This window comes from Homo sapiens, chromosome 13 (assembly GCF_000001405.40).
Source record: "Homo sapiens chromosome 13, GRCh38.p14 Primary Assembly".
Taxonomy (NCBI): Eukaryota; Metazoa; Chordata; class Mammalia; order Primates; family Hominidae; genus Homo; species Homo sapiens.
In genome coordinates this window covers 99,877,297-99,899,563 of record NC_000013.11, presented here as the reverse complement: position 1 = coordinate 99,899,563, position 22,267 = coordinate 99,877,297, and the positions used below count along the sequence as shown (strand labels likewise).

General features: G+C 47.2%; 1 protein-coding gene and 1 long non-coding RNA gene across 11 annotated transcripts in view, besides 5 other annotated features; one reads left to right on the top strand and one right to left on the bottom strand.

Annotated features, from left to right (window-relative positions):
• CLYBL (citramalyl-CoA lyase) overlaps positions 1-22,267 on the bottom strand; it is a 302,755-nt gene that overhangs the window by 9,881 nt on the left and 270,607 nt on the right. For 3 of the 10 annotated variants that reach the window (NR_104592.2, NM_001393361.1, NM_001393360.1), the window contains one exon: positions 8,127-8,246. Coding sequence is in view for 9 of the 10 variants with exons in the window: in NM_001393361.1 (NP_001380290.1) it covers positions 8,151-8,246 (96 nt within the window). In the remaining variant the exon portion in view is untranslated. Of the gene's footprint in view, positions 1-4,964; positions 6,720-6,841; positions 7,142-7,440; positions 8,247-22,267 lie in introns of those variants that run through there. The other 7 variants (NM_001393357.1, NM_001393362.1, NM_001393356.1 and 4 more) reach the window with 6 other exon arrangements.
• Positions 1-22,267, top strand: part of CLYBL-AS3 (CLYBL antisense RNA 3) — a 216,296-nt gene that overhangs the window by 57,602 nt on the left and 136,427 nt on the right. The gene's annotated exons all lie outside the window — the stretch shown is intronic.
• Positions 3,626-4,125: an enhancer, noted in NCBI's record as "H3K4me1 hESC enhancer chr13:100547693-100548192 (GRCh37/hg19 assembly coordinates)". NCBI's record gives its function as "activates a minimal SCP1, AML or CMV promoter by ChIP-STARR-seq in primed H9 embryonic stem cells {active_cell/tissue: H9 hESC(primed)}" and the evidence as "EXISTENCE:reporter gene assay evidence [ECO:0000049][PMID:30033119]".
• Positions 4,126-4,627: an enhancer, noted in NCBI's record as "H3K4me1 hESC enhancer chr13:100547191-100547692 (GRCh37/hg19 assembly coordinates)". NCBI's record gives its function as "activates a minimal SCP1, AML or CMV promoter by ChIP-STARR-seq in primed H9 embryonic stem cells {active_cell/tissue: H9 hESC(primed)}" and the evidence as "EXISTENCE:reporter gene assay evidence [ECO:0000049][PMID:30033119]".
• Positions 5,808-6,361: an enhancer, noted in NCBI's record as "H3K4me1 hESC enhancer chr13:100545457-100546010 (GRCh37/hg19 assembly coordinates)". NCBI's record gives its function as "activates a minimal SCP1, AML or CMV promoter by ChIP-STARR-seq in naive and primed H9 embryonic stem cells {active_cell/tissue: H9 hESC(naive and primed)}" and the evidence as "EXISTENCE:reporter gene assay evidence [ECO:0000049][PMID:30033119]".
• Positions 6,362-6,915: an enhancer, noted in NCBI's record as "OCT4-NANOG-H3K4me1 hESC enhancer chr13:100544903-100545456 (GRCh37/hg19 assembly coordinates)". NCBI's record gives its function as "activates a minimal SCP1, AML or CMV promoter by ChIP-STARR-seq in primed H9 embryonic stem cells {active_cell/tissue: H9 hESC(primed)}" and the evidence as "EXISTENCE:reporter gene assay evidence [ECO:0000049][PMID:30033119]".
• Positions 6,916-7,470: an enhancer, noted in NCBI's record as "OCT4-NANOG-H3K4me1 hESC enhancer chr13:100544348-100544902 (GRCh37/hg19 assembly coordinates)". NCBI's record gives its function as "activates a minimal SCP1, AML or CMV promoter by ChIP-STARR-seq in naive H9 embryonic stem cells {active_cell/tissue: H9 hESC(naive)}" and the evidence as "EXISTENCE:reporter gene assay evidence [ECO:0000049][PMID:30033119]".

Genomic DNA, 22,267 nt, shown 5'->3' with positions numbered 1-22,267 from the left:
AATGAAACTCAGTACCCATTAAACAGTAACTCCCCATTGCCCCACCCCCAACCCTGACAACCACCATATGCCAGGTGCTTTTGAATACAGTAGTTCATTTAATCCTCTGCCACAGGTTAGGAGCTCTAGAAGCAGATGCTCAGACAGAGTCTACGGTGCAAGATGCCAGGGAACAACATCCAGGAAAGGAAGGAGAATTCAGGATTAGTGTGAAGGAGAAGTTGAATGGCCAAGCAGACCCAACAAAGTCTTGGCTAACCCCACTGGAAACTCTGGCATGTGTGTCCCACCTCTGGCCAAAATGGTGGGGGGCCCTGGAAGGGTCTTGGGCAAGGCAGCGGGGTGGGGAGCTGTCTGCTGACTGCATCTCCCCAGCCCGGCAAGTGGGGATCCTGGAAGTGGCGCATCTCTCTGACTACCACATCCTCATAGGAACTCTTGGAGTTAGGTGTTTTTATTTGGGTAGCTGAAGAGACTGATGTTCAGAGAGAATAAATGGCTTCTTCTTCTGTCTGCACGTAACCTAACCCATTAGTGGTAGAGCCAGCATCAGAACCTAAGTGGAGGAGGGAGACTCAGGTCCTGATTTTAATGAATACATTTTCCACAAGCTCATGCTGGGGATGAGAGGCGAGAGCAGGAGAGGGATCAGAGATGTGTGACAATGTTCAATATTCAAGGCATCCACACTATTTTTTGGGGACACACACATCTAAACAACCACTATAATGAAAGTCCAATCCGTGCAACAGAAGGACTAAGGGAAGAGCAGCAAGTTGTCTCTAGGGGAGCTGGGAGGATCTCTCAGGAGTGGCTTTCAAGCTGTGTCTTAAAGAATGCTTTGGCGTTTGTTGGGTGTCATAGAGAGGGAGGGTTACAGCTTGTGCAAAGGCTTCGGAAAAGATCAGTGTGGACAGTGGCCAGGGCCTCTTGAGAGAGCCATGCTGTCACTGATGTGGGTACACAGGGGCGGGGGCAGGCAGTAGCTGGAGCTCCCTTCTGCCAGCCTGGGAGAAGCTCCCGAGAGCCACCGCACGAATTCCAGGCCCTGGAAATTAGATGGGGAAAAATGGATGTGCCCTTGTCCTCATTTGGGGGTTTGGGTTATTAGCCAGCACAGTTCTCCCAGAAAATCGAAGCCAGAAGTTCATGTTGGTTTTTACGTTCTTCCTTTCACAGAACTCAAAAGACCATCCCCCTGCCCCTTTTTAACATTAAGCCAGATGCCTAGAGTATGGAGTCTTTGGAAGAAACTCTCTACCACAAAGCTCTCTAAAATGGAATGTTCATTTTTCTCTTGATTCTATTAGTGTGTCTGATTATGAAGGAAATTTGATTCTGTGTTTAAAAACAAAACAGAACCCAGCCAAACCAGCTATTTGGCGTTATGTAAACCAAAGAAATCCAGTTTCTTGTCACTGAATCTCTCCCCTTTAGCCAGCTATTTTATCATCATCACATAGCCAGTGTTCGGCCTCTCTTGTTTTTTGTAAGATGGAGTTTTCAGCGTATCAACTCCTTTATTTATGTAATGAAAGGAATCTCTAAAGTTCCTTCCAGGCCTGGGGCTCCAATCCCCAGGGAACCTGCCCAGTTTTCTTTCTTTCTTTCTTTCTTTTTTTTGAGACGGCATTTCGCCCTTGTTGCCCAGGCTGGAGTGCAGTGGCAGGATCTTGGGCAACCTCTGCCTCCCGGGTCAAGCGATTCTCCTGCCTCAGCCTTTCGGGTAGCTGGGATTACAAGCATGCGCCACCACACCCAGCTAATTTTTTGTATTTTTAGTAGAGACGGGGTTTCACCATGTTGGCCAGGCTGGTCTTGAACTCCTGACCTTAAGTGATCTGCCCACCTCAGCCTCCCAAAGTGCTGGGATTACAGGCGTAAGTCACTGCACCCGACCCAGTTTTCTATATGTTTACATGTTGCATGCAACGGTGAAAGAGAGAAAGTTTCACCGACAGAGGAGTCTCACACAGTTTTGGGATTCCTCCTCAGTCAATGGTAGGCACAGGTGAGTTGAGAGGCTGTCTTACACCCATCCTGGTGACAGCCAGCTTTGTCCTGTGACTTAGGTGCGGGTAGCTTGACTCTGGAAGTCTGGCCCCCTTCTATACCTTCCAGAATGGGTTTGTTCTCGAACAAGAGCTTGTATGGGAGAAAAGCACCTTAACTTGGCCAAATTCAGCCCTAATCTTGAGGACAGGTTTCCAGTTCCCTGCGTATGAGCAAAGGGGGAATGGGGCCAGGATGGAGTGTGTCTCTCTGCACGTTTGAAAGGCTGTGTACAAACAGAAGGCCTGGCCTCACTCCTCAGACCTCAGGCAGGCCTCTGACGGGTTGAGGACTGCAGCCTGGCATAGCTCCTGCCCACCAAAACCGGAGGGGAGAGGGAGATGAAAGATGGAAAAAGTGGCTGGTTTCAAAGCATATGGCCTGTAGTTTTTCAAACGTTTTTAATTCCTAATTCGCACCTCTCTTGTTATCATCACACACTGTAGTAGCCAATGGCACTTCTTTTTGCTTTGACACTTGACATTATTTTAGGCCTCTGCTCCTCCTTTGGCTTCCACAAGGGCATTCTAATTTCAAAAGAAAAGTTCATCTGGAATAAGTCCTGTGACTGGCCCCTCTGGCACCCAGTCGGGTTCAACAGGTGTCTGTTGAATGACTAAATGAATGAATGAAGCAAATCCCTTCAAAAAGTTCGGCGACATCTTTACTCTCAGCAAAATTTCCCCATTTCCTTCTTAAACTTGGGATTACCACTTAGAGTGGCCTCCAGGGATTCCCAAGGGAAATCGGCAAAGTTGATTTAACAGTTTTGCCAAAACTCATAACCAAAAAGCTACCATAAAGGGAATGTTCATTTTCCTCTTGATTCGAATACTGTGATTGAACAAAGTGGGCGATTCGACTGGAGGACTGAAAAGCAGGGGACCGGGATCGTCCCTGCGTCCCTCGGGCTCGCGGCCAGGCGGTGTGAGGCCGGGGCTTCGGTCAAGGAGACCACGACCAGGGAGCTGCACCGGGAGCCTGCGGGGCCCCTCGGGGCTAGTCGTTCCGCGTGGCTCGGGTGCGGATTCGGGGCTGCAGGGACCCCAGGGCCGGCGGGACCCCAGGGCGGGCGCAAGGGCCCTGCGCAGGTGTCCGGCCTGCGCGCAGGGTGCGCGGGGGTACTGGGGCCTGGGAGACCCGAGAGAGACGTTATTGTTACAGTGTAACGAGTCTGATTAACATGCTCCTGACACTTTCTCTTAGTTTCTCGGGCTCCTAGCAACAGCGCACAAAGGCGCGGGATTGTCCCGGGCTCCGCGGGGACACGGGGCCGCCTTTGATCTGCCACCATTACAGCCGGGCTGCGCGACAGGCGCGCGGGCTCCGGGCGGCCCGCGGCGGGCGGGCGAGCAGGGCCCACAGTCCAGGCCTCCTGGGCCGCCACACTCCTCCTGGCCCGGCCTCGGCCCCGGCTCCGCGCGCACCGGGGGCGCGGGCGACGAGGCCTCGGGGCTCCGCAGGGCTCGGCGTCTGCGGCCACCGCGTGTACCCCGCGCTCCTCCTGCCCGCGGGGCCGCCCACCCCGGCTCGCGGTGCCCTTCCGTCGGAAGAAGCAAAAGTCAAACCCAGCCGGTCACTTACAGTGGAAAAAAATAAAAATCATTTAAAAGGAAGGGCATGAATGACAAAGAAGTCCCCAAATGATTTTGGCAAAACAAAACGAACTCGCCCCGCAGGTTGCAGCGCGCTTGGCGGAAACGGGGTTCGAGTGGCCGCCGCCGCCCGGGCGCTAACGACGGCTTCGGCCCCTTCCTGCAAGTCGCTCTTTACGTCGTGGGCAATTCTTACTGACTCGGAAGGCGATATGCTGCCAAATAACAACTGGAATTTAAACAAACGAACACCACCCCCTCCAAAACCAGCCCGCGCAGAGCTGCCGGGTCCCAAGCGCGGGCTCGCCCGCGGGGTCTGGGAAAGTCACTGATCCTCCGTGGGGACCGCGCTCAGGTACGCCGCTCCGCCCGCGGGAAAGACAGCGCGGAAAGAAAGGCGAAGACTTTCACGCTGAAATGCTGGGGTCTGGTCCTGCCTCCCGCCTCCCCGCGAAGACGAGCTGGGAAGCCTGGCAGCGGCTCCGCGGGTCACACCCGACCCTCGGCCGCGTCCACGAGCTCGGGGCCTGCGGGCCGTCTCAGAACCTGTTTTGTGCAATTAATTCATTGCTTTTCTAGTACTAGAGGAAAGAAATAAAACACAGAAGATTCAGTTTTCCAAGGTAAACCGAAATCATAAAAGCGGAAGGTCCTTCCAATTAAAACAAACCCGTATTTTTTTTCTCCTCGTGGCATCATCAGAAAATTACAATGTCCCCAATGAAGAAAGTCAGTTTCCCGAACTCCCGCAAAACGACCGGGTGCAAAAGTGTGAATGATAATAATATGTCTATTTTAGAGACGGGGGAAAACGACATGGTTTGTTCTATCTGCCCAGCGAAATATGCCACGGAAGGAGTTACTTTCAAATTCAAATCGGAGGCGGTGAAGTCTTCATCCCGCAGGACTGTTTTCCCAGCCGTCCCTGGAGGAGAGGAGGGGAGGGCGGCCGGGAGGACTAACACTGGGACATCAGACGGGAACGCTCCCGGATGCCGAGAAACTTCCTAACTTGTGCTCACAGACACTGCCTGACTCTGACTGGAGTTCCCTTCACCATTTCAATAAAACATGACTGTATTGATATAATCCTCTATACATTAAAATGAGGTTGTCACAGATTGTCATTAAGACCTCAGTAAAACAATGAAGACATTATTGGGCACCCCCCCCCCCCCCCGCCTCAGGCAAGGTATTAGGGGAATAAAGCAATCTACACCACACGGGTCCTATTGAGATTAATGAAAAAATTATGCAAAAAAAAAAAATCTCAATTTCATTTTCCCGTGACGGGGCTTTGCATACATACAGTCAGTCTTGCCTTGCACCTGATGATTTATTAAACTAATCTACAGTGATCACCACTGATGTTCCCAACTCAGTCTTGTCCCGGCTCATTTTCTAAGTAATTGTTTCTCATTAGTTCTGATAATGTTTTAATAGTGTTACCCATAATTTAGACCCCAAGAATTAATAACGGGGGTGATATGGCTAAGCGGCTTGTGATGAGCTACACAAAACATAAACAGGTATGGTTTCTAATGAATCAGATTAGCTGCAAGGTCCTCTTCCTGTCACCCACGCCTGGCTCAGGAGTCGGGCAGCTCTCACTTCCCCGTGTCGGGGGTGCCCAGTGAGCCCAGTGGAGATCACACACCCACCCTTGACTGCTCTCCCACCTTTCCCAGGGTACCTGGGCCCACCCATGGCACCACAGAGACGCGGGTGGGGAAAGAGGGGGAATACCCTTTGCCTTCCAGCATCTTCTTCCTAGAGTTTTGTTCTTCAAGGACTAAGGCACCATGGGTTTCTGATCAGGACTGAACTCTCTTCTGGGACCCTCGTCGTTTGGGTCTCTGTTCAGGGAATGGGACTTTGGTCCAGATTTGTGGCTCTCATAGGTCTTAGTCTCATGATCCTACCCTAATAGGGACCATGGGTTATGAGGAAGATAATGAACTGGACATTTGGGGAGACTGAAACAAGGTGGTTTTGTTTGAACAAAGCAGTTTGGGATGAGGGCAGTGGCGTGGCGAGCAGTCCAATGTGGTTGGGACCTAGGAACCCGTGGCCTGGGAGTGGCCAGCAGCGGGAGGCCTAGCCGGTCCGGCCTCCGCACCACCCAGGGGCCTTGCGGAGGGGCCTGCTTTTCCCCAGGTCTGTAGGGCTCCTTGGCTGGGGACAGGAGGCTCCCAGTGAGGCCTTGAGGAGGCCCCTCTGTGTGGGGCTGGCTGGCTGGCTGCCTGTGGGGCTGGGGTGGAGACTAGAACGCAAGCCCTTCATCCCCTCAAGCCAAGGGCTTCTTTGGATTAGGCTGGAGGATGGGAAGGTTAGTTAGATTGGGGTGAGGGCTGCCCATAGGAAGGACAAGGTGAGGTTTATTTTCTTCTTTTGCTTAGGGCCAGCTCTGCCTCCACTGCTTCTAACACCCTCAGCGGGTGCGTATGGCAGGGGCAGAGTGAGAGAGGCCTTCTTTTGCCTTCCCACTGCCAAGCCATCCTCCCATCCCTCTGTGTTCTGAGCAGAGGGGCAGACTGGGGGTGCACAGCGTGGTCCTGGGTTACCTGGTGTGCACCTGACTCCAGGAGTCCCATCCTTGGTGGGTCCTAGCTGCAACAATGGGTGCTCCTCTGGGAACTGCTGCTGCTGCCCCGTCTGGGGTCTGGAAGCAGTGTGGCTAGAGGCCATTCGGCTCTGAAGTTGGCGAGATGCCATCTTCCTCCTTCCGGCCTCTGAGTGAGGATGGGGCTAGCTCCCACCTTCCTTTCTGGCCGCTCTGGGGCAGCCCAGCGTGGCCAGTGTGGAGGGTGGCACTCCTCTATGAGGGACCCCACGGAGCATGTGCCATCTCCATTTAGGAGCTATCTGTCTCCTGGATCCTGTGTTTGAGAAATGAGTTGGTGTCTTCACAGAATGAGGATCCCCAGAGCCATCTTGCCCGGTGCTGGCTCCCCGCATGTCTGTCCCTCTCTGGGTGGGGGTCGCCTGGTGGCGGTGGGACTCTGCGGCCGCGCTTTTGTGTGATGGTGCCTCTCCTGGTGTCTAACCTCAGCTCCTCACCTCTCGGGCTTCCTGTGGGAATTGAGAGAAGTGGGGAAAAGGGGAGGCCTGGTTGGGGCTCATGCTAGGGGCCGCAGAGGAAATAATCCAAAAGGGCGTAGGAGGAGGTGAAAAATGAAAGTAAAAAACAACTGTTTTCTATTTACAAATTTAAATAAACAGAACAGCCTTCCCCGCGGTGTTTGTCTAAGAGTAGCAGCGTTGCTGCTGTGTAGGTCATGAAAAGGTTGGTGTAGAGTTTAAAACTTCCCATTCTGTTAATTTCTTAAGGAACAGTCGTCCAGAGTCTCGGCACAAAAGCTCATGATTTAATGAGGAACAGAAACAAAATCTCTGATTGTTGGTGTTTCAAACTTCATTGGCGTCCTCTGGCAAGCACAAGTTGATCCCTCTGCAGCTTCAATACCCTTTAGCCTTCAATATAAGAGTACATGCTGAATAGGGAACAATGGCTGGTTGTTATGTTTATTTACCCTTACTACAAGCTGGGTTAACCTCTTCAAAACAGCTTTACTAAGCCCGTTAACCACACCACCCATCTGACCTGCAGCCGCATCTCTAATGTGATGCAAATCTCGCAGGGGCCACATGCACCAGCTCGGGTGCATTGTGTCTTCTGAGACGCTACAAGTTTATGACTGAGGGAGTCCTGTCCCAGCCATACATTTCCAGGGGGAAATAGCCTCAATGGCAAACAGTTAAACGGGAAAATAAAGGGGGAGAATGGATGGTCTTGTGTTTCTGCACATTTATTTTTTAATTGCCGGTAATGGTTGACTCACAGCATTCACCCAGGATGACAGCTTTCGTGTTCATCGTCTAGCGGTTCAAGGAGATGGATGTTTCGTTTTAGGGGTGGAGGTTAATAGTAACCAGTTTCGAAAGTTTATTTTCAGAAAGTGTCTTTTTAAGCCAATATAATACTTAGTATTCTTTTTTGATGCCATCTCTGTTGTTTTATCAGATTACTAGTGAAATAGAGATGACCCCTTAATGTTGCTACTATGTTTTAAAGGCCTGGCTTTTCTTAAAATTATTTGTGGTGTCAGCTGTATAAATGAACAAGCAGGAAACATTTACTAACATGAGAAGGGTGGAGGGAATATGTCTATTTGGGAAAGATCCATTTCATTAAAGACCTACCTTCGCCTCACAGCCCATCTTTCCCCAGGATCTTACCTCCCTGTGAAATCATAAGCCCATATTCGTAATACACTAAAAATGATAAAATCATAAGCTTGGATCCAAAGGGAAAAGCGTTCATTTTTTTAGGGGAATAACTGGCCAGTGAGACAACAACAACAAAATTGTGATTAACATGAACTGTAAATGGAGTCAGGTCCCAATCTGGCATCCTAACAAGTTGCTTTGAGTATTGTGGTTTGTCTTTAAGAACCCCACTGTATATGTTCAGCCCACCTGATGACAGCTTCATTTAACAGATCATTTTTCCTTGATGGAGGTGGCAAGCGTAACAGTGTTCTGGGCCTGCTTCAGTAATGGCATGTCGATCATACTCCCTTGGAAAGTAAAGGCCCCCTGGAAAACAGAGAATACAAACTTCCTGAAAGAATACTCGAAATTATAGGTTTCCTTTCTGTGCACACTTGTGCAACAAGAACATTTTAGATTCCACCTGAATTATACTGACTTTCCCGCCCAACTTTTGAGAAAGCCAAAGTAAATTACAGAGGAAACACTTCTTTTTTCCCCCTAAAGAGGGGAAAAAAATAAAAATCTTCAGCATTTTAATGGAGAGGAGAAACACATTGGACACAAGACAGCAAACTGTTCAGTTAACTCTTGAAATCAAGCAGAAAACAGCTGTGGAAGGAAAATCTAAATACTTCCCTATATATTTTTGAAATATTATGTAGAACTTTAAAAGCAAGAATATATTCTGGCAACTGATTATTGTTTTAAAAAATTGTACCATCAGGCTAATGGCAAAATCTTACCTCCTTGCTGTAACATAATTGAGAGGTAACATGATAAGGTTATGAGAAAATGCAAGGTAGGATTGTACAGGGTACAAAGAGATGAGTCTGTTGGTAAACCCATACAGAAGACGATTAGAGTGACCAGGGACGGCCAGGCGCAGTGGCTCACACCTGTAATCCCAGCACTTTGGGAGGCCGGGGCGGGCGGATCACCTGAAGTCAGGAGTTCAAGACCAGCCTGGCCAACACGGTGAAACCCTGTCTCTAATAAAAATACAAAAAAATTAGCTGGGCATAGTGGTGCACGCCTGTACTCCCAGCTACTCGGGAGGCTGAGGCAGAAGAATTGCTTGAACCCAGGAGGTGGAGGTTGCAGTGAGCCAAGGTCACACCACTGCACTCCAGCATGAGTGACAGAGCGGGACTCCATCTCAAAAAAGAAAGAAATACCAGGGACATGAGCTGTAACAAAGGAATCATAGATCTGTTGAATGTTAAGATGGGAAGGCATCTCTGAAATCTCTTGGAATAGTCCCATTTTACAGACTCATTTTTTAAAAAACTTCTACCATACTTATATAGACTGTGTCAAGTAACCTAAGCCCTGTTTTAGATGAGGAAACTGAGGCTCAGAGTAGTAAAAGAAGGAAAAAAAAAGAAGTGATCTTCCAAGGTCATGTGACTAGGGAAAGCCAGAGCTGGGGCTGATGCTTGGGTCTCAGAGCTTCAAGCCTTCATCAGAGATCCCCACATTAAGAAGACAAGGTAGCTTCTTTAAGTGCATCAGCAAAAGATAGATTAAACGGACAGAAAGCAGCATGCTCAGAACCCAAAGTTAATGTCTGGTTATTTGTGTTCTTTTCATCACTTCCTTTTGCTGCTTACGATGATATCCCTTCATCCTAATCCACCCTGCTTCGACCTGTTGGCAAGGATGCTGGTGTGACTGGGTTGCAGGGGTCCTTCGAGATCTGGGGGTGGCTGGGGCAATCCTAATGCACATTGATGATGGTCCATTTGCATCTATTGTAGCCCATTTCTGGATTTCACAAGTACCAATTCCCAACAGTCAATGCTGATGTCACTCAGGGCTGCCGGGACAGGAGTGCTGGGCTCTCATGATGAGGGCTGAGAGGTAGTAACTTACGGTTATACATAGGATGGAGGTAAAGAAAAATGGGGGGAATCCTTAGCAATGACTTTTGGGATTTATCTTTTGATTGAGAGAGATTCTAAGCCTACTAGGATTAGAATTTTTACCAGCAGTGGCCAACCTTTTCAGCCTTAGAAATGATGACTCTTACTCACATGAACACCTGTGTGGCCTAAACCTAAATTCCTGTACTGTAAGTCACTTCCCAGCCCTCTTGTTTTTACTGTTTTTACCCCTAGATTGTCCTTTCCATAATTTCATTCAGCCTCGAGCTAATTTTGGTCACCTCTGTGACCAGGAGGAATTTTCCTAATTTGGTTGGAAGTTCCGAGGTGGTCCTGTAGGTTGGCGTTACGTGGAAATCCGGGCCTGGGTCACATGCTGTTTTACAAGGCAATCGTCTAGTTTTCTTATTGGAGTAAATGATGAAGACCAAAGGCCTCTTGGTTATCCACCCACCAAGTGGGTTATGGCCCTGTAAAACAGCACATCTGTCCTGCTAGGGTTTAAACAATAGGCTGGGGAGACGAAATTAGCATAGATGCACAGGAAATCAAAACGGTGCGCAGAGAATCCAAACGGTGGCTGTGAGTCTGTGCCATGTTCCCGAACCTGCTTTGGGTTCCATGTGCACATCAAAGATAAAAAACACTTCATGTAGTTTTTCAAGACTGGGAGATTATTTCTTCTATGGTCGCAGGTTTTGCTTGATTTTCTTTAATGAAGCTTAAGGTGCAAAACGAAATGTAGCATTTTTCTTGTTTCCTGCATCACTGCAAATGGAGGATGGTAGTGTTATGAATGAGACTGCCTAGCGTGAATATCCCCAGGCTCTCACATAGCCACCTATAATTTAGGTGGTATTTTTTTAACATGTGGGTCTATAGGTGAGATGAAAAATAGTCTATTGGTCAGGATTTAGAAAAATGCAGTTCATCAAAAAGCTACTTGGATTTTTGAGGAGGGTTTGAAATCTTCCTTAATGATTATATTTTATATTTATTATATATTTTTTGAGACTGAGTCTCGCTCTGTTGCTCAGGCTGGAGTGCAGTGGTGTTACCTCGGCTCACTGCAACCTCCGCCTCCCGGGTTCGATTCTCCTGCCTCAGCCTCCCAACTAGCTGGGACTACAGGTGCGTGCCACCACGTTTGGCTAATTTTTTTTGTATTTTTAGTAGAGACTGGGTTTCACCATGTTGTCCAGGCTGGTCTCGAACTCCTGGCCTCAGCTGATCTGCCCACCTCGGCCTCCCAAAGTGCTGGGATTACAGGTGTGAGCCACTGCGCATGGCCTCATGGTTAAATTTTTTAACACCCATGCTACTGTAATAATAATAGCTATAATTTTTTGAGCAGTTCCTAGTCTGGGGCCTGTTGCCTGGCACTTTACATACATTATTTCATGTAATGCTCATAACAACACTTTGAAGTAGATACCATTATCCAACCCCAGTAAAACTTTTTCTTTTTAGTTGTGGCAAAAACATAAAACATAAAATTCACCATCTTAGACATTTTTAAGTGTGCAGTTCAGTAGTGTTAACTCTATGTACATTGTGCTACAGATCTCCAGAGCTTTTCCTTCTTGCAAAACTGAAACTCTGCAGCCTGTGCATGGTGGCTTACGCCTGTAATCCCAGCACTTTGGAGGCCAAGGCGGATGGATCACCTGAGGTCAGGAGTTCGAGACCAGACTGGCCAACATGGTGAAACCCTGTCTCTACTAAAAATACAAAAATTAGCTGGGCATGGTCGTGGGTGCCTGTAATCCCAGCTACACGGGAGGTTGAGGCACGAGAATTGCTTGAACTTGGGAAGCAGAGGTTGCAGTGAGCTGAGATCATGCCGCTGTACTCCAGCCTAGGTAACAGAGCAAGACTCCATCCTAAAAAAAAAAAAAAAACCCCAAATCCCTGAAACTCTGTATCTATAAGACAATTCTCCATTTCCATGTCCCCCTGCCCTCAACAACCACCATTCTACTTTTGACAAGGATCCCAAAAGTAGAATCCTTGGGTTTCACTCTGTCACCCAGGCTGGAGTGCAGTGGCGTCATCACGGCTTACTGCAGCCTCGACCTCCCAGGCTCAGGCCATCCTCCTGCCTCAGCCTCCCATGTGGCTGGGACCATAGGTGTGCACCACCATGCCCAGCTAATTTTTTATGTAGAGACGAGGCCTCCCTATGTTGCCCAAGCTGGTCTCAGTCTCCTAGGCTCAAGTGATCCTCCTGCCTCGGCCTCCCAGAGTGCTCGGATTACAAGGCATGAGCCACTGCTCAGCACCATTCTCCTTTCTGTCTCTGAGTTTGTACTCATCCCCTTTTAATAACTGAGGAAACTGAGGCAGAAGGAGCTTAAGAACCATGTGCAACTTAGCCCTGCAGTTAGTAAAGATATAATAGAACAGGGATAAAGCTGACTCTATCTAATGCCAAGCCTGTGCTCTTAGGGGCCTGGTGATTGAAAAGGGTTCTCTGAGTGTGTTCTGTGACCCCCTGAATCAGAACAATGGGCGGGGGGGACTTGTTAAAATGCAGATTCCTGGGCCCAGTGCCACGTGGTTTGTGCAGAAAACCTAGAGGTTGACTAGGACTCCTCTGGTGATTCTAATGCACATTCACGTTGAGAACTTCCGTGTTTTAGCTCCCCCAGGTAGAAATGGTTAGGCTGGCTTGGATATGCAGGTCTATAAACTGAAGAGTCCTCTTGCAGCCTTCTGTAAATGATGCCTTTCTCTTGTAAGGCATCCCCAAGATGCCAAATGGCAGAATTTCCTTAGGTTAGTCACCACTTATCCATTCATCCATCAAGTATGGACCGAGCAGCTCCCTTGTGCCAGGCCCTGGTGAGTCACTTGGGACAGTGAGAGGATGAGACTTGGCCCTGCCCTCTGGGAGCTTACCATTTGCTGGAGGGGAGAGGGAAGGAAGAAGCAGGTGCTACCTGATGCAACAAGAATCGGAGAAAAGGCCAGGGTGGTGAGCACAGGGACGATCTGAGGGCCTGCCATGGCTGCACTTCTTCCCAATCAGGGCCATCTTTGCGAGACTGCACTGCTCACACAGATACGACATTGGGTACCTAGAGCAATGCCAGGCATCTCCACGCGTTGCCGTGGAACTCCGGACGCAATGGGCTTTTATTTGACAGTTACCTATGGCGTTATTTGTTGTAATAAATCACTGGTCAATTGCTTTGCACATCTTACTATACATATGTCTATGATTTCAGACTCCTGGAGGTGAAGGCCAGTATCACCATAGCACACGTGTCTTCCGCGTAGGAAGGAAACAGTCACCATCGAACTGTAGTTTTTCTGACACCTCGGCCATTGCCCGTGGATCAGATAAGCACTGACATAATCTGACTTACAATTTGATGGTGAAGGTGATGATGATGGCGTGATGACAATAGTAATCACATCTATGGGAAATTGTCATATATTTTGCATTTCTGGTACTTAGTACTTGACTTTTTTCTCCATAGTCCTAAAAGAGTAATTTTCTAGAAACCACAAATTGATCTAAGTCTTTCCCTATTCACTATGTTTCCAAATTAACTTCTGTGGATACTGAAGGGGTTCCTTCTGGCACATTCTGATGACGGTGTTGCTGTGGCTTCCTGAGAGGGAGTTCTCTGTGAGAATTAACGCTAATATTTGAATACAGCGGCTAGAGTCCTTTTTTGGGGTATCACCCTTTTCCCATATGGTGCTAAGTCTTTCTGCTCAATGAATGAATGACTGGCCTCACAGCAGTTCCCAGGGAATTCCTAAACTTCCAGCCAGTGTTGGCCGTGATCAAATTTCTCCTCGAGATCCTGGCTGTGCCTTCCACTTGCTAAATCTCTCAGCCCAGCTGTGGCCTCCTGGGATACGGCTCCTCCTTACCTACGAGGTCAACAGCGCCCTGAAACTCCTCAGGAAAGGCGGAAGATGATGCTCCCGGAGACACTCTCATGGGCACTGTTTCATTCTTCTTTCCTATTTTGCAACTTCTCCCACTTGGAGAGTCCTTAGAAAGGCCCTCGTGTGCCCTTGGTTCCCTCTCAGTTTTGTTGTGACATTCATTTTAAGGATGTCCGTTTGGGTGCCAGGCACCCTCAGCTCAGTGAGGCTTCCCGGCTCCAAAGCTGGCTCCTGGAGCTCTCAGGGACATGGTGCCAGGATGTTTATAGGGAGTGGCACTTTTCTAGTTGGGAGCGTGCTGTTATCTTTCTAAAACAGATCTGATGGAATCATCCACTTGCTTTAACCCTGCCATGGTTTTCTTTGGACTTGCAGAATTAAGTGCAATATCTTCAGTGGAGACCCAAGCCTGCCCATGATGGGACCCTCCCCCCTCAGCCTCATCTCCTGCCAGTCCCCTGAGGCCTGTACCCCAACACACACCACGCTGCAGCTCTGCCGCATGCCCTGTTCTCTCTCTGAAGGCCCTTTCCCTGTCTGGCAAACTCCTCCTGATGCTTCCAGATGTCAAGGTGTCACCTCTGTGAAGTGTTTTGAGGCCTCCTTGGTAGAGCAAATCCCTCTCCACCCTTTCCCTGTACAGCTCTCTGTATAGCCTGTGTTCCCATCTAGTGAGAGTATTTGTTTACATTGCTGTCTTTCACAACACTGTGAGGCCCCTGTGGGGAGGCGCCAGGCCTCACGTACCTTTGACTCCCAGGACCTGGCACCCAGCACCCAGTACCTGCCAGGTACACGGGAGATGCTCTGTGACCGCTGACCTGGTGATGATGGAAAAGGCTGAATGCAAAGCCAAGAGCAGCAATACCGACCTACCTGAATAGAAGGACACAAGTTCGGTAGTTGGTGATTTGGGTCACTCTTTTTCTTTAATTTGGGACCTTAGGGAAGGGACTGTAGTTGTCTGGGCAAAGCTTTGCTGTCACACATCCCTGCTGAATCTTTAAGTCACCTGGAATGTGCAGTGAGGCTTCATCCCAGCTGGTCTCAGGGATATGGGGCTCTGCCTCCCACCCCATCAAACTCTGCAGGATGCCCTGGCCCACACCTGTGCCTATCAGCTCCCTGCATTGACATGGATGCAGAGCCTACTGCATACCTGGCGTGCCACAGGCCCAGGGACTTACGACAGCAGGCAACAAGGCAGATGTGGTCCCTGACCTCACAGGGCTTCCAGTCTAATGGCGGGAAGGACATTAAATAGACAGTGATAGAAATGACTATTACTTAAGAACTAGAACGTTTGCTCCAAAAGCAAGGCACAGGGGAGTTGAAGAGTAACTGATAGGGGACCTAACCTGATCAGGTGGGGCATCCTGTGGGACGTGATGTTTAAACTGACATGTGAAGGGTGAGGAGCAGCTAAGCAGGGGAAAGGGTCAGGAGGAGGGAAGGAAGACAGACCAGGGCACATGATGGCTCTCTCTGGGGCGTGAGCTGGGTGATCGAGGGGACAGTGATAGGAGAAGACAGAATCACCCCAGGTCTCCACAAAGCTTTCCAGCTCTGAGCTCACCCTTTTCCTCTCCTTTATCTGCACATGTCTCTCTGTGCCCCTGATCTGGTAATATTCACTGGTCAGTTGGCCAACACTTGCTGAGCCTCTGGTAGGACACCATGGCTGACTTCAAAACTGGTAATGTCGGGGCCAGTGTGGTAGTGTAATCCCAGCACTCTTGGGCTGAGTGGGGAAGATCGCTTGAGCCTGGTCAAGGCTGCAGTGAGCTGTGATCACACCACTGCACTCCAGCCTGGGTGACAGAGTGAGACCTTTTCACAAAAAGAATTTTCATGTTGGCTTGGGCTCAAGTTAACTCATGCAAATGACTTAACAGTTAAAGGGCAAGTGAGTTTATGATGTTTGTGGTGCTTCAGGGCCAAGGAGCTGCAGAGAGAAGGAGCTATCACAATGGTGCTGGTTTGGCCAGGGAAGGGCTTCAAGGAACAGGTATTTAAAAGTCAGCTTTAGAAGGTCAGGGATGCCAGGAGACAGGAGAGGGGCGTGGGGACTGGAAGGGGACACAGAGAAGTGTGCATGGAGTCGGTTTTCTTTGCTCTGCAGGAGCCTTGTGTCTCTGGTCACCAGTGACATAACAGACACACAAAACTAAGGGGTGTGGTAGGAGACACTGGATCTTTCTGTGGCTCTGTCTATGGCTCAAAAGCTGTCTCCTAGAGCCTGAGGACACGCAGCCTACTCCAGCCTAAATTAAAGCAATCTGGAAGAGAGATGACATTTTAAAATATTGGTTCTGCTATTTTTTTTTTTTTTTTGAGATGGAGTCTAGCCCTGTTGCCCAGGCTGGAGTGCAATGGCATGATCTCGGCTCATTGGAACCTCTGCCTCCCTGGTTCAAACGATTCTCCTGCCTCAGCCTCCTGAGTAGCTGGGATTTCAGGCGCTCGCCACCACACCCAGCTAATTTTTGTATTTTTAGTAGAGATGGGGTTTCACCATGTTGGCCAGGCTGGTCTTCAACTCCTGACCTCATGATCCACCCGCCTCGGCCTCCCAAAGTGCTGGGATTACAGGGGTAAGCCACTGCGCCCGGTCGGTTCTGCTATTTATTAGCTGCTTGACTTTTCTTATGACAAAGCACATAAAGACAGTCTCTATTAGACGAAGCTGGACTGAAACCCGGTGGGGTTCCTGTTCTTGCTACATGCACTGATGGGCCCACGTTTGCTCCTTCCTGGACCCTAAGCAGAGGAAGTTGAACCACCTGTTTCCTTTTCTTCACTCTGGGTGTTTTTCCTCTGTCCAGAGGTGGTCCGAGGATCCAACGATGGGGAAGCTAAGAGCTGGGCTGGGCTGGCCTGGCCTGGCCCGGCCCAGCCCTACTTCCGAGTGGGACAGCATGGATGGATTGTCTGGCACAGCTTTCTGGGCGCCAGGGGAAGGGTAGATCTAGGGGAAAGGATGTCAGTTTCCTTGAGGAGGAAATAGGAAGATTGTCTTGGCAACTATAACCTCTACTCTAGTTAACTATACCCTCAGTAAGCCCTGGAATATTAGTTTCCAAACTGAAAATTGGAGGAGGGTAATTCTATTAGGAAGACCCATTACCCAAAAAAGAGGTTTCATGTGATAGTACTTTATACTATTACAAAATATTCTTTTTTTTTTTGAGACAGGGTCTCACTCCCGTCTCCCAGGCTGGAGTGCAATGGCACGATCACAGCTCATCGTAGCCTTGACTTCCCGGGCTCAGGTGGTCCTCCCACCTCAGCCTCCCCACTAGCTGACTAGCTGGGACTACAGGCATGCCCCACCAAGCCTGGCTAACTTTTTGTATTTTTAGTAGAGATGGGGTTTTGCCCTGTTGTCCAGATTGGTCTTGATCTCCTGATCTCAAGTGATTCACCTGCTGCGGCCTCCCAAAGTGCTGAGATTATAGCTGTGAGCCACCGCGCCTGGCCCAAAACATTTTCAAAGACATTTTCTCACCTATAGTACAGAAGGCATGATTATTTAGTTTTACAGGTGCAAACAATGGGGTTCAGTACTAGTTAATCTTATAAAGGAACTTAAGAGGACGAGACTAGAATCTAAGGCTTTTTACCCCAAATCTCAAATTCTTCTTATTAATCATTGTAACCCAAAGTATGGCTGATAACTGGTATTTGGGATAATTATAAAGTTCTAATACAGCTACATATTTATTTTGTATATACTATGTATTTTAAATTATATTTAATGTAATTTATAAAAATAGCATATCTAAACTATTTCAGAAATATTATTACATAAGATGAGGCTAAAAATACATACAGATAATGTGCAGATAAGCAAATACGTGAAACTGCAATTTTAACAAGAGAATTTGGGCAAAAGTAAACTATAACATTTTTCATCCTGGGCTTCCATTTGAAAGTTCTTACTATAATTTATTACAATACCAGAAATACTAGAATTCAATAATACAATATATGAGTGACATTTTAAGTCTTAAAAACACCTAAAGCAGTTGTTAGGAGGATTGAAGGCAGTGATATTTGGTCCTTGTATAACATCTGAATATCAGTAACCCTTTGTTTTATGGATAAACATCTTTAAAAATTGTAATGAAGGCTGGGCACAGTGGCTCAACGCTTGTAATCACTTTGGGAGACCAAGACGGGAGGATCGCCTAAGCCCAGGAGTTCGAGACCAGCTTGGGCAACATAGTGAGACTCTGTCTTTTCCAAAAAAAAAAAAAAAAATTAACTGGATGTGGTGACACGCACCTGTGGTCCCAGCTACTCGGGAGGCTGAGGTGGAAGGATCACTTGAGCCCAGGAGGTCGAGGCTGAAGTGAGCCATGATCATGCCACTGCACTCCAGCAACAGAGTGAGACCCTGTCTCAATAATTAAATAAATAAACAACTGTCAGGAAGATAGTAAAAGAATATGACTGGAGACTTAGAAAGTATAGAACGTGTTTTTCATCTTTTTACACTTTAAATTGTAGTGATAATTTCATCGGTATTTTAATAATATTTTGAATTGAAATTCAGCAGCCATTCGTTCCTATTGCCAGATAATTTACGGATGCTAATGTATCTCTACATGAAATTTCTGAAAGTTCAACCGAAGTCATTCAACACAGACACCAATTCACATTGTGCTAATCTATGGTTACCTATCATGGAATTCAGACGGAAGACACTCCATGGCCTTTGATGGAGAAGCCCTTTAAATAATTCATAAGAATGTAACAGTGGGAATATCGGGTTTGGGGTGGGATGGGGTGGCATTCATGTTGCACCTGACTGGGAAGCACAGTGAAAAGCCAGACGGGAGCAGCATGCTGAGCAGCTGGGGAAGGCCCCGGAAAGCCCAGGTTCAGAGAGGGTGCTGAGTTTGGGGGTCGTGCAGGAGGTTGGGAGGATTCTGCACCCTGGGCAGTTAGTGGATTCATTTTCCAAGCTCTGAAAGGTGCAGAAGCCTGAAGAAGCTCCTCTTTATCCCTCCCGTCCCTTCCCCTGTAGCTCTCTGGCTGTCACTCAGAGGCCAGGGCCATGAGGGGCACGGAAGGGAGGCCTCTTGTGTTCCTGGGGCAGCTCCACCTGCCAGGTCAGTGATGGTCTGAGCAGGCATGGGGGATCATCTTCTCCACACAGAAACAGGACACTTTCCAGGATGGGCACAGCCTGCTGTGGCTCTCAGTAGCCTGTGGCTGCAATGAAGGGGAATGAAGCTCCCTGGAGAGAAAGGATCTGGCTTTTCTGGGGGTTTCCCTTAGAAGCAGCTTCATGCAGAGGTTAGGGATGTGGACTTTGGGCTCCATTACACCTGACTTTGAATCCAGGAATGCCTTTTCCTAGCTGTGTGATCCACAATGAATAAAGCTACCTTTCCCAGTCTTAATTTCTTCATCTGGAAAATGGGGATAATATCGCCCCTGTAGGGCTGCTGTGAGGATTACATAAAGTAATATATGCAAGGGCCAGGTGCAGTGGCTCATGCCTGTAATCCCAACACTTTGGGAGGCCGAAGCGGGCAGATCACTTGAGGTCAGGAGTTCGAGACCAGCCTGGCCAACATGGTGAAACCCCGTCTCTACCAAAAATACAATGAGCCGGGCATAGTGGCATGCGCCTGTAATCCCAGCTACTCGGGAGGCTGAAGCATGAGAATCGCTTGAACCTAGGAGGCAGAGGTTGCAGTGAGCCAAGATCCCGCCATTGTACTCGAGCCTGGGCAACAGAACAAGACTCTGTCTCAAAAAAAAAAAAAAAAATATATATATATATATATACATACACACATATATGGAATATGTTTTATATATATATAAATGGAAGCAGTTATGCTACCAGCACTGTCACTACTGTGGCCACACCACTGTCATGATGGCCACCACTACTGTTAGGAGTATGATGATCTCTCCTCTGGTTATTATTACCAGCCCCATGACCACGGCACACATGGTTACTGCTACCACCATTGCTACTGGTATTGCTACTGTTATTGCTGGCCAGAGATTATTTAATTCCACTTATCACAGAATGGCCCAGTGAGAAGCAGACTGTTTGAATTCTAAGTGGGTTTTATGATTTCAGAGTAGTTTTAAGACCTGCAAGAGTTTGAGAAACATCAGTGTTTTTGAAAATACAATGAATAGAAACAGGCTCATGCCTGAAGCTTCCTGTCCCCTCTAAACTCTTATAAATCATAGATTTAGTTGTCTCCTTAAGAAACTAGACTCAGGGATGCTATATATTTGGCAGCGCCTCAGGAGGAAAACAAATAAATTTAGAAAAATTAAAAAACTTAGAATATCAGCAGAGGACAGACGCTAATCAAATGCAGATGATCTGAAGTCCAGAGCTTGGCTTACACGGAGGAGGAGGTACTGAAACGCAGGACACCGTTCTTTCAGCAGATGATGGACCAGAAAAGGAAGAGGTGTAGCAAAGATGATAGCTAGACACATTTGTTCAAAAGGGAGGACATTTCTTGGAATGTGGAAATTGAGTGGATGTAAAATGAATAGACAGCGTTAACATTCTGCTTTTTACAAAGGCAGGATGAAATTATTTAGCTTTAGCTAAATAAATGGAAAGATGGGGCTAGAAAATAGAAAGATTTGTGTGTTGTTCTTGGCAAGACTAATTCAGGACTTTACCAAGAGTTCCAGGAAGTCGGGGGTGCAATGGGGAAGGAGAAGCAGTAGAAGGCTTGGAAGATGGATTTGGCAGGAGCAGGGCAGGAAAGGTCGAGGCGGCTGAACAACAGGGAGGAGAGCTGAGGTGCATGTGTGTGCCAGTTATCTGCATATGTGACCATCCCGAATCATCTACTTGCCCAGGTCTGGGTCTCCACGGACCAGAGCCATGCTTACTTTAAACGCTGATCCGAGAGACCAAGGTAGCCTTCTATTTTTAAAACTTTCCTCGGGGTCTAAACATGTAGATGGCAAGATTTCTCTTTAAAAATATTCAGGCAGAATAATCAGGCAAGAGTAGGCAAGTCTTTGTTTTCGATATCTTTTCACAAGGAAATCTGGAAAAATAAAGCCAAGTATGCTATGTAGAAAGCTATGTATTGAGGTGAAGACAATTGGATTTACAAGTGTATCAAAATCTAAGGGAGTTAACACATTTGCCATCAAATTAGGTTTTGTGCTTAATTTTCTCAATTTTTAAAGTGGCTTTATTGAGGTACGATTTGCATACCATAAAATCCACCCATTGTACGTGCATAAGTCATTGATTTTTTAGTAATTATGTAGAGTTCCGCTACTATCACCTCCATCTCAGATTTCTTTTTGAAACCAGAAATCTTCTTTAAAGATTTTTAAAAATTATTTTTAAAACCAAGACAAATGTGTAACATGCCAAATGTTTAAATGTCTTTATTTAAAAATGTTTGACATCAAATTTAAGCTCCTATTGCCTATGAGAAAAGCAAACAATGAATGCCATTTATAGCAGTTTGTAGCTAAGACCAATAATGCAGGCTTATTCTTTCTTTGGAAAACAGATTTAATGAGTTAACATTAACTAGAAGAGACTGAAAGATTTACTAAAATACTGGTACATTTTTTCAAAGCACAATTGATGAATAACAACTGATGAAATAATTGATGGAAACATCTTCTTTCAATTTTTCTAGAAGGCAGCAGAAGTATGTCATATATACTGTTAAAAGTACATCTAATAAATTTTTTTTTAGCATTGTCAGGAATTTGGAAACCAGTTAGCTAAATAATGTTTACTAAATGTGTTTCGTGTACCTATTTCTGCCCAAGATGCTGCAGGGAGGTGCGTGCTACGGTAGAGAGAATTCTTTATTCCCTAAGGTAGTGGTAAGAAATTGCCTCACTTTTTTTTTGAGGCCCACTGACCTAAAGTGGGGGAAAAAAAAGACAATTATAGAAATGGTTGCTTTGTATTTTTAATAAAATTCAGTATAAAAAGAACTACAAAATTCTGGGCTGGGCGCGGTGGCTTACGCCTGTAATCCCAGCACTTTGGGAGGCGGAGGTGGGCAGATCATGAGGTCAGGAGTTTGAGACCAGCCTGACCAAAATGGTGAAACACCGTCTCTACTAAAAATACAAAAATTAGCCAGGCATGTTGTGCGCCTGTAATCCTAGCTACTCAGGAGGCTGAGGCAGGAGAATCACTTGAACCCGGGAGGCGGAGGTTGCAGGGAGCCGAGATCACGCCATTGCACTCCAGCCTGGCTGGCAGAGCAAGACACTGTCTTAAAAAAAAAAAAAAAAAAAAAAAGAATTACAAAATTCTTTAATTAATACAACCAAAAAATAAATAAATAAAAGAATGCTCTGAAAGTCTCTAATGTAATTAGCTACAGGAAAGAAGGTGAGGGATGGCCTGGGGTGTGGAGATGATGTAGTGAGAAAGAAAAAGATGTAAAGAAAAAGAGGAAATGGAGAATTCAGGGCAAGGAAAATGAGGGTGGAACAGAAAGATACACACACAGACCCATCCATCCTTAGAGGGAGAAATACAGGAAGAGGAAAGAGAGGGAAAGGTGTCCAAGG